This window comes from Homo sapiens, chromosome 11 (assembly GCF_000001405.40).
Source record: "Homo sapiens chromosome 11, GRCh38.p14 Primary Assembly".
NCBI classification, from domain to species: Eukaryota; Metazoa; Chordata; class Mammalia; order Primates; family Hominidae; genus Homo; species Homo sapiens.
In genome coordinates, this window is record NC_000011.10 from 62,613,166 (window position 1) to 62,623,012 (window position 9,847).

Sequence of the window (9,847 nt, forward strand, 5' to 3'; positions counted from 1 at the left end):
GTATTGGGGTCAGGGTGGCATTAGCCCAGCTCAAGCCGGGCCGGGCTGACTCAGCATCCTGCCCCAGCCAGCTTCCATCCCTGACACCTCTGCATTCCCTTGGGCAGAGATGGGAGATGGCGCCGGTGTTGCCCCTGGTGCTGCCCCTGCAGCCCCGCATCCGCCTGGCACAAGGGCTCTGGCTCCTCTCCTGGCTGCTGGCGCTGGCTGGTGGCGTCATCCTCCTCTGTAGTGGGCACCTCCTGGTCCAGCTAAGGCACCTTGGCACCTTCCTGGCTCCCTCCTGTCAGTTCCCTGTCCTGCCCCAGGCTGCCCTGGCAGCGGGCGCGGTGGCTCTGGGCACAGGACTAGTGGGTGTAGGAGCCAGCCGGGCAAGTCTGAATGCAGCTCTATACCCTCCCTGGCGAGGGGTCCTGGGCCCGCTGCTGGTGGCTGGCACGGCTGGTGGGGGGGGGCTCCTGGTCGTCGGCCTCGGGCTAGCCCTGGCTTTGCCTGGGAGTCTGGATGAGGCGCTGGAGGAGGGCCTGGTGACTGCCTTGGCTCACTACAAGGACACAGAGGTGCCTGGGCACTGTCAGGCCAAAAGGCTGGTGGATGAGCTGCAACTGAGGTACCACTGCTGCGGGCGCCACGGGTACAAGGATTGGTTTGGGGTCCAGTGGGTCAGCAGCCGTTACCTGGATCCCGGTGACCGGGATGTGGCTGAGTGAGTGATTTGCGTCTCCCTTCCTCCTCCTCCTCCTCCCTGGACAGGCTCCCTCCTGCTGCCTTGAATCCCCACCTCGCTCAGAGGGGCAATAAGTAGAACATAGTGGCTGAGAGACTGGTTACAGCTCTGCCATTTATTAGCTGTGAAACCCAGGGCATGTTACCAAACCACCCTGGGCCCATTCCTTCACCTGTAAAATGGAAATAATAGTACTTATCTGATAGAGTTGTTGTGAAGATGTGAATTATGCTTGGCTGGCACATAGTACAGCAGTCAGTAAATGTTTTACTATTCTTTTTCCCTTCTGAACACCTGTGCCCTTCAGTCCCTCCCCCAGGCCTCTATCTCCAGACATCCTAACCCCTCTGTCCCTCCCTTTGCAGCCGGATCCAGAGCAATGTAGAAGGCCTATACCTGACTGATGGGGTCCCTTTCTCCTGTTGCAACCCCCACTCACCCCGGCCTTGCCTGCAAAACCGTCTTTCAGACTCCTACGCCCACCCCCTGTTCGATCCCCGACAACCCAACCAAAACCTCTGGGCCCAAGGGTGCCATGAGGTGCTGCTGGAGCACTTGCAGGACTTGGCAGGCACACTGGGTAGCATGCTGGCTGTCACCTTCCTACTGCAGGTGAGTCAGCAAAGCATCTGACACCTCCTCCCACCCGGGACTCCTCCCTGCCTCCAACCCTGGGCCTCTTGGAACCGCTGACTCTCCCTGACTCTTTCCCCTTGCTTCCCCCACAGGCTCTGGTGCTCCTTGGCCTGCGGTACCTGCAAACAGCACTGGAGGGGCTTGGAGGGGTCATTGATGCGGGAGGAGAGACCCAGGGCTATCTCTTTCCCAGTGGGCTGAAAGATATGCTGAAAACAGCATGGCTACAGGGAGGGGTTGCCTGCAGGCCAGCACCTGAGGAGGCCCCACCAGGAGAAGCACCTCCCAAGGAGGATCTATCTGAGGCCTAGAGGCCTGGAGCTTGGGGTGAGGAAGAGGGAGGGATGGACAAGTCTGAAAACCTCACAACTCCTTACCAAGGCTCCAGGTTGGGGGGATCGTAGGATTAGAGGGGCTAAGGATAGTCAGCGAGCTGGACTGGGGTAAGAAAGAAAACCAGATGTCCTAGGGCCTAGCCCTTGTAGTCAGAACCACCAGGGAACAGCAAAGAACAGAGTGATGGGAAAGTGACATGAGAAGGCCTGGAGGCTGATTCTGATATAGACTCAATAAAGTTTTTGGATGGAAGCAATTGCTTTTTCTTGTCAAGGGGATGGGGGCCTGGGAGAACTGATTTCTGTCTGATGGAGCAGCTAGGACTCCAAAGTTTGGACCCTGGCTCGACCTGTGCAGCAACAGGAGCCCACATCTGTAAGGATCAGAAAGCAAGAACCCAATGTAAGAAGCAAAGGAAAACAAGAGGCCCCTCCAGGTTGAGATTCTTTATTCTGGAGGTAGGAAGGGGGTCAGCATGCTCAGGTGGGAAGGGTCCAGCCCAGCTCCTCCAGCCCCCCAGTGCATGCCCAGCCCCAATAAGTTACCCAGTTACTCAGCTGCCCTCCCTCCTGGGTCCATCTGTCCTTCTGTTCCACCCTAGACAGGGCCAACCTGACTCAACACAAGGGCTGCTTGTCCCCAGCCTGTGGGCAGTGCCACACGGCAGGCTAGGGGAGGGGTGAAGCAGCAGGACCATGCCCTGGGCCTGGAGGGGCAGAGGGGCCACTTCTGGCTCCAAGGGTCAGGACTTGGAAAACCACATCCTGGGCAGGCCTGGGGCCCAGTCCCACAAGGTCTGTGCCTGAAAAGAGGTGGTAGTTGGGGTGGGGCCGCCATCACACCTCAATTGCTGGGTCTGAGCCCCGGCCCTGCCGCTGCAGCTGCTCCTCCTGCTTCATCTTGGGCTTCTCTGTCCGAGTATGCCACACCAGTACCTGTGCCAGGAGGGATGCAGTGAGAGCCAGGCCCAGCTGCAGCCAGGCCTCTGGGTCCCCGAGCCTGGAATGGATTCTCTAACCCTATCGACATATACAGTATAGGCTTCAAAGTGTAAAGGGCAGGGTGGAGGAAGACTTAGTGCCTCTAAAACCGGGCCTTGGCCGGGCGCGTGGCTCACGCCTGTAACCCCAGCACTTTGGGAGGCCGAGGAAGGCGGATCACGAGGTCAGGAGATTGAGACCATCCTGGCTAACACCGTGAAACCCCGTCACTACTAAAAACACAAAAAAATTAGCCGGGCGTGGTAGCGGGTGCCTGTAGTCCCAGCTACTTGGGAGGCTGAGGCAGGAGAATGGTGTGAACCCGGGAGGCGGAGCTTGCGCTAAGCCAAGATTGCGCTACTGCACTCCAGCCTGGGTGACACAGCGAGACTCTGTCTGAAAAAAAAAAAAAAACAACAAACAGGGCCTTATTCCTTCATCCTCTCTGTGCCACATGGGTTCCCAGAACTCGGGGCAGAGTGGCAGGAGACCACTTTCCCCCGCTAGTTCCCAGCTTCCCCTTCAGTAGAGTCAGCAAGGCTGATCAGAGATCTGGAGAGTCCCTCCTGGTTAAACCACCCATTCCCAGGGTCTCACTGTACCTCCCCCATCACCTGTCCATCCAAGAGCCAGGTTTCTATGCCCATCTCCATTCCCTTACCCGAGTGCAGTTGGCAGCCCGTGGCTCCAGGTCCTTGGGATCCACAAGGTGGCTCAGAAGACTGCTCTCCAGGTGGCCCCGGGGAGCGGTGGAATCAAATTGGGCATTGGGCTTATCTAACAGCAAGGGCAGGGCCACGGCAAATCCAGCCATATCCACAGGGAAGGGCCTGCTGGGCTCCCATGCTGTGTGGAAGCCCACTACCCGGCCGTCCTGTACCTGAGGGCCCTCGAATCGCAGGCCGCCCACCAGCCCCACAGGCCACACTGAGACACCACGGGTCCAGCGCATCTAACGGAGGTCGGGAGAGAAGAAACAGAGGGGTGGTCCGGGGAAGGGAGCAGCAGAAAGAGCCACCTGGCTCACTCTGCCCCACTGCTTCCAGCCCCTCACCCAGCAGCCAACGGCAACACTGCTAACCAAGGTAACGAATGAAGCTGGCCGCACCTGGTCTCTTGCCCATCCCCATCCTGGTGCTCACCTCCTCAAACAGCTCCCGGCTGTAGGTGTTGTCATCGTCAGCAAAGTAGACGACTCCTTGGGTCCCTGGTGGTGGTGGGTCCTTCTCCCCACCCACAGCACCCCCTCTGCCCCGGAGCCAGTCCAGGGCCTTGTTCCGCTGCTCGACACCACGGGGATGAACCCAGCCAGGCTCGCCCTCCCGAAGCCGCTGGGCTTTGGGCGTGAGGACCACCAGGTGTGTGAAGAGGAGGCCAGAGGCAGCCAGCAGCCCTGAGACCAGCGGGGTGGGACCCTCAGCATCCTCCACCAGCAGCCAATGCAGCCGGGGCACCAGGCTCAGTGTCTGGGACAGTCGTACCAGCTCTGCCTTCTGTACCAGCCTGCAGGGGAGAGATGCAGCACAAGGAAAAGGGGCAGGCACCATTTGCCTGCTCCAGCCAGGGCAGACAGCTTCTCCTGGGCCACTGCCTGCGTCTCCTGTGGCCCTTCCCAACCAATGCCTAAACTCCCTCTTTCTTGCCTGTCAACTTCATGCTAACACTCACCTGCCCTGTTCTTCTGGTCCATGTCCATCACCCACCTCAACTCCAGAGCTCAGGCTGTGGGAGACTATAAATTAAGGGCACAGGGCCGGGCATGGTGGCTCACACCTATAATAACACTTTGGGAGGCTGAGGCAGGTGAATTACCTGAGGTCTGGAGTTCCAGACCAGCCTGGCCAATATGGTGAAACCCCATCTCTACTAAAAAAATACAAAAATTTGCTGGGTGTAGTGGCACATGCCTGTAATCTCAGCTACTTGGGAGGCTGAGGCAGGAGAATCGCTTGAACCTGGAAGGAGGAGGTTGGAGTGAGCTGAGATCGCACCATTTCACTCCAGCCTCAGTGATAACAGCAAAACTCCATCTCAAAAAAAAAAAAAAAAGGCCGGGCATGTTGGCTCACGCCTATAATCCCAGCACTTTAGGAGGCCGAGGTGGGCGGATCACCTGAGGTTAGGAGTTCGAGACCAGCCTGCCCAACATGGCGAAGCCCCGTCTCTATTAAAAATACAAAAAATTACCCAGGCATGGTGGCAGTCACCTGTAATCCTAGCTACTCGGGAGGCTGAGGCAGAAGAATCGCTTGAACCCGGGAGGCGAAGGTTGCAGTGAGCCGAGATTGTGCCACTGCACTCCAGCCTGAGCGACAAGAGCGAAACTCTGTCTCAAAAAAAAAAAAAAAAAAAAAAAAAAACAAATTAAGGGCACAGGCTTTGGGATCAGGTAGATCTGGGTTTGAAATCCAGTTTTGTAACTTATTATGTGAGACAATTTGGGAAAATGGCTCAATCTCCCTAAGCCTCAGTTTCCTCAACTGTAAAATGGGAATAACAGTACTTTATAACAATGTTGTTTTAAAGATTAAATAAGAGCTGGGGATGGTGGCTCACACCTGTAATCCCAGCACTTTGGGAAGCTGAGGCAGGTGGATCATGAGGTCAGGAGATCGAGACCATCCTGGCTAACACGGTGAAACCCCATCTCTACTAAAAATATAAAAAATTAGCTGGGTGTGGTGGCGGGCACCTGTAGTCCCAGCTACTTGGGAGGCTGAGGCAGGAGAATGGCGTGAACCCGGGAGGCAGAGCTTGCAGTGAGCCAAGATCACGCCATTGCACCCAGCCTAGATGACAGAGCGAGACTCCATCTCAAAAAAAAAAAAAATACAAAAGTAAAATACAAAAAATTACTGGCCAGGCATGGTGGCTCACACCTGTAATCCCAGCACTTTGAGAGGCCGAAGCAGGTGGAACACGAAGTCAGGAGTTCCAGACCAGCCTGGCCAACATGGTGAAACCCCATCTCTACTAAAGATACAAAAAATTAGCCGGGTGTGGTGGCGCATGCTTGTAACCCCAGCTACTCGGGGGGCTGAGGCAGGAGAATTGCTTCAATCCGGGAGGTGGAGGTTGCAGTGAGCCGAGATCGTGCCATTGCACTCCAGCCTGGGCGACAGAGTGAGACTCCATCTCGGGAAAAAAAAAAAAAAAATTAGCCTGGTGTGGTGGTGCACGCCTGTAATCCCAGCTACTCGGGAGGCTGAGGCAGGAGAATCGCTTGAACCCGGGAGGTGGAGGTTGCAGTGAGCCAAGATCACACCACTGCACTCCAGCCTGGGCAACAGAGCAAGACTCCATCTCGGTGTTGCGGGGAGGCGGGGGGAAGAAAAAAAAAAAAGGAACAAACCAGGAATGTGGAACGTGGGGCTTGGCCTCTTCTGTACTTCTTTATCCTTCAGATCTACCTGCCTGTCCCAGGGCTGGTTGTGTGTGCATGTCGCAGGTGGGGTCTAGAGCTTCCTATGCGTGAATGGGACAGCCATCTGATTCCCAGAAGATGTATTAACACCCTTATGGCTACAGATCCAAAACCACATTCCCCAATTGGTTTTATTAGTAAAACCAATTACATTTGATTTAAAACAAAAGCAAATGTAAATCACTAAATACAGTGCCTGCTAGAGAGTAAACACACTGTAAGTAACAGCTGGTATAACTATTTCTGGACCCTAGTATGACTATCAGGCCAAGCACTTTCAACTTTTTTTTTTTTGAAATGGGCTCTCTCTGTCGCCCAGGCTGCATGATCTCCACTCACTGCAACCTCCGCCGCCCAGGATCAAGCAATCTTCCCACCTCAGCCTCCAGAGTAGCTGAGATTACAGGCATGCACCATCACGCCTAGCTAACTTTTTTTTTTTTTTTTTTTTTTTTTCAGAGACAAGAGTTTCACCATGTTGCCCAGGCTGGTCTCAAACTCCTGAGCTCAGGCGATCCGCCAGCCTCGGGCTCCCAAAGTGCTGGGATTACAGGCGTGAGCCACTGCGCCCAGACAAGCCCTTTCAACTTTAATCAGGGGGTTTTAACTTTCTTGCCAAACGGTCCCTAAGGAGAGAGAGTTAATTCACTGCCAAGCTCAAAATTTCTTTGAAATGTTATTGTTCTATCTTATAATTTGGTAGAAATTTTGTATTTTCCTTCTAGAAAAAGAACTATTTTTTTTCTTTTTTCTTTTGTTTTGTTTTGTTTTTGAGATGGAGTTTCACTCTTGTTGCCCAGGCTGGAGTGCAATAGCGCACTCTCAGCTCACTGCAACCTCCGCCTCTCAGGTTCAAGGGATTCTCCTGCCTCAGCCTCCCCAGTAGCTGGGATTATAGGCATGCGCCACCACGCCTGGCTAATTTTGTATTTTTAGTAGAGACGGGGTTTTGCCATGTTGGCCAGGCTGGTCTCGAACTCCTGACCTCAGGTGATCCACCCGCCTCGGCCTCCCAAAGTGCTGGGATTACAGGCGTGAGCCACCACACCCAGCCTGAAAAAGAACTATTTTCCCACAAATATTTGAGTATAAATGTGGTTCATTTATCCTGTCTTTGGCATGCTCTAGTTTGAGGAACAACTCCTAGCCCAGTGCCTCCCCAAACTCCTCATCATCAACTCCAACTTCTTGGACAACGCAGACCTCTTGAGTGCACCAGAGCCCATACCTGGCATAGGTGGGGGTAACAACATAGATAGTAGGCAGGGCCTCGGGTTCAGGGGGCTGGGCAGGGGCAGGGGGTGGCCGTCGGAGTTCCGCTTGCAGCTGGGAAATCCTCAGATCCTTCTGCCGTAGCTGCTCGGCTGCTGCCCGCAGGGGAGGAAGGCAGTCACATGGCTGGCCTGGTCCCAGGAAGCATTAATGGGGAAAGAAGGTGGGGACAGAGAACCGCAGAATGTTCAGCATCCCAAAGGGCCGTAATCGTCTCATTAATTCCTAACCAATGCAGGTATCACCTTATGACTTCCCTAGTAGCCTTTTCTATACCTCTCGTGTGGGAAACTCACTGCCTCAAGCAGCAGACCCTCTCCAACTTTAATAAATTCCATTGTTACAATTTTATGTTGGATATTGAGCTGATTCCATCTTTTCTACCTGCTGGTCCTAATTTTGCCTTCTGGGCTTCTAACAAGCTCATGTCCTTAAACAGGACAGTCTTTTCAGAGTCCAAGGTGCCAACTAACCATTACACTATGGAACCCCTTTTGGACAGTCTTTCAAATACCTGAGGATAACGCAGTGGCACTGTCCCTAAATCTTTGCATAAGGGGCAGGGTTCGATCCATTCCCTTGGCTAGGTGACCAAAGACTCATTGTTAAATTCATTGATTCCATCGTAGGATAAATATTTATTGAATACTCTTCCTAGGAGGCACTGCCTTAGGTGCTGGGGATACAGCAGGGAACAAAACAGACACAGTCCCTGCCCTCATCGAGCTTTCTGTTTAGTGGAGGAAGCAGACACTAAGCAAAGAAACAAATTAATAACATTATTACAAACTGTGATGGGGCCATGAAGAAAATAATCAGGATAGAGAATAAAAGGGAATGGAATTAAGAATGGTAACTTTAGCTATGGTGGTCAGGGAAGGCCTCTCTGAGGAGGTGACATTTGAGCTAAGACCTGAAGGATGAGAAAGAGGCAGCCCGGGAAACGCTGGAAGCAAAGCACCCCAAGCAGAGGGAACAAGTTAAGTGCTTGAGAGAGTAATGAGCGTGGGGTTTTCGAGAAACTGTCAGCAAGCCAGTCTGGCTGCAGCAGAGCGAGGGAGAGGGGTGGAAATGGGGTTGGGAGAGGCGGACGGCAGCAGGATCATGCGGGGCCTTGCAGGCTCTGGGAAGGAGTCTGGATTTCATCCGAGGTGCGGCGGGTAGCCGCGGTGCGTTCTATAGAGGGCAGTGCGCCTGAGGCCGCAGAGCTGTCCGGAGGGCCGAGCGGATGAATGGTGTTTGCCGGGGGTTCATCCCCAGGGCGGGATGCACGGCGGCGGGCGCCCTCGGGCCAGCCCGCCGCACCCCCGCCCCGCCCCGCTCACCGAGCTGTACCAGCGCGTAGAGGAGGCCGGCGATCGACACCAGGAAGTAGGCGAGAAACACGTTCTTCAGCTTCAGCTTCATGGCCGCGCCGCCGCCCGCGCCCGAGCAGGCGGGGTCTGCAGGGGACGAGGGGTTCCCGCCCCAAACCCCGGCTCCTGTCCGCAGGCCCCGCCCCTGCAGCGGCTCCGCCCTGCGTCCCGCCTTCCTCGCACTCCCCTACCAGCTCCCAGCTGGGGCTGGCAGCGCCGCCAGGGCACGCTTCCGGTCATCTGTGCACCCCCCCGCCTTGTAGACTTGATTTCCGGTCCCACCGCCAGGTTCCGGGAACCACCGGGTGGTGACGTCACATCCGGCGTGCCAAACTCGCGTGGCCGGCAGTCAAAACCCCGGGTAGGTGCAGAATCTCGAGTAGGTGCACGTGGTACCTACCTCGAGACCCGCCCCCTCATCACGGAATTGCCTGAGAAAGCCAGTCCTGGCGCCCAGATCTTCACCTTATTCATCCATCCAGTCAGTCACGCCACCCAATAGCTGTTGCTCAATACTTATTACACGAATGAAATCTAAGGCCCACCACATGATCCTCTGGGTGTCTCTCCTGGAATCCTCACTATAATACTTTGAGATAGATAAGAAACCAAAGTTGACAAAAATTATGTCATTGCCACAGGGCAGTTTTGTGTCCTTTCTGGACACCCGATTCCAGCATCTCTAGTGTGTCCTCTGGCCCACATTTCTTCAACAGATGACAACAGGGGTGCCAAGGAAGTGTTTTAACTACCAGGAAATTGATTGGAAATAGTTCCTGAGCTGGGGAATTCCATGAATGCATCCCCTTCCTCCTCACAAGCACAAGCCATCCTTCTCATTTTTCCTTTAAAAAAAAAAAAAAGGGCCCGGCCCAGTGGCTCATGCCTGTAATCCTGGCACTTTAGAAGCCCAGGAGTTTCAGATCAGCCTGGGCAACAAGGCAAAACCCCGTCTCTACAAAAAAAACACAAAAATTAGCTGGGTGTGATGGCGCGGGCCTACAGTCCCAGCTACTTGGGAGGCTGACATGGGAGGCTGAGGCTGTGGTGAGCCGTGATCATGCCACTGCACTCCAGCTTGGGTGACTGGGTGAGACCGTCTCAAAAAAAAAATAAC

General features: G+C 54.6%; 2 protein-coding genes across 7 annotated transcripts, besides 6 other annotated features; one reads left to right on the forward strand and one right to left on the reverse strand.

Annotated features, from left to right (window-relative positions):
• Positions 27–86: an enhancer, noted in NCBI's record as "active region_4832". NCBI's record gives its function as "activates an Ori minimal core promoter by ATAC-STARR-seq in GM12878 lymphoblastoid cells {active_cell/tissue: GM12878}" and the evidence as "EXISTENCE:reporter gene assay evidence [ECO:0000049][PMID:35858748]".
• On the forward strand, positions 92–1,951 carry ROM1 (retinal outer segment membrane protein 1). Its single transcript, NM_000327.4, has 3 exons — positions 92–706; positions 1,093–1,339; positions 1,456–1,951. The coding sequence occupies exons 1-3, from the start codon at positions 117–119 to the stop codon at positions 1,672–1,674; spliced, it is 1,056 nt and encodes a 351-aa protein (NP_000318.2). The 5' UTR covers positions 92–116; the 3' UTR covers positions 1,675–1,951.
• B3GAT3 (beta-1,3-glucuronyltransferase 3) lies at positions 2,131–8,821 on the reverse strand. 6 transcript variants are annotated; one of them, NM_001288721.2, is made up of 6 exons: positions 8,701–8,821; positions 7,890–8,128; positions 7,332–7,506; positions 3,822–4,182; positions 3,341–3,631; positions 2,131–2,634 (listed from the first exon to the last, which is right to left on the reverse strand). In NM_001288721.2, exons 2-6 carry the CDS (start codon positions 7,948–7,950, stop codon positions 2,536–2,538), a joined length of 987 nt encoding a protein of 328 aa, NP_001275650.1. In that variant the 5' UTR covers positions 7,951–8,128; positions 8,701–8,821; the 3' UTR covers positions 2,131–2,535. The 6 variants fall into 6 exon arrangements, 5 of the variants coding, with proteins under 5 accessions (NP_001275650.1, NP_036332.2, NP_001275651.1 ...); NR_109991.2 differs by lacking the exon at positions 7,890–8,128 and having other exon boundaries at positions 8,711–8,821; NM_012200.4 differs by lacking the exon at positions 7,890–8,128.
• Positions 3,481–3,981: an enhancer, noted in NCBI's record as "H3K4me1 hESC enhancer chr11:62384118-62384618 (GRCh37/hg19 assembly coordinates)". NCBI's record gives its function as "activates a minimal SCP1, AML or CMV promoter by ChIP-STARR-seq in primed H9 embryonic stem cells {active_cell/tissue: H9 hESC(primed)}" and the evidence as "EXISTENCE:reporter gene assay evidence [ECO:0000049][PMID:30033119]".
• Positions 3,982–4,482: an enhancer, noted in NCBI's record as "H3K4me1 hESC enhancer chr11:62384619-62385119 (GRCh37/hg19 assembly coordinates)". NCBI's record gives its function as "activates a minimal SCP1, AML or CMV promoter by ChIP-STARR-seq in primed H9 embryonic stem cells {active_cell/tissue: H9 hESC(primed)}" and the evidence as "EXISTENCE:reporter gene assay evidence [ECO:0000049][PMID:30033119]".
• Positions 8,074–8,667: an enhancer, noted in NCBI's record as "H3K27ac hESC enhancer chr11:62388711-62389304 (GRCh37/hg19 assembly coordinates)". NCBI's record gives its function as "activates a minimal SCP1, AML or CMV promoter by ChIP-STARR-seq in naive H9 embryonic stem cells {active_cell/tissue: H9 hESC(naive)}" and the evidence as "EXISTENCE:reporter gene assay evidence [ECO:0000049][PMID:30033119]".
• Positions 8,074–8,945: a biological region, named in NCBI's record as "H3K27ac hESC enhancer GRCh37_chr11:62388711-62389304".
• Positions 8,536–8,945: a silencer, noted in NCBI's record as "silent region_3421". NCBI's record gives its function as "represses an Ori minimal core promoter by ATAC-STARR-seq in GM12878 lymphoblastoid cells {active_cell/tissue: GM12878}" and the evidence as "EXISTENCE:reporter gene assay evidence [ECO:0000049][PMID:35858748]".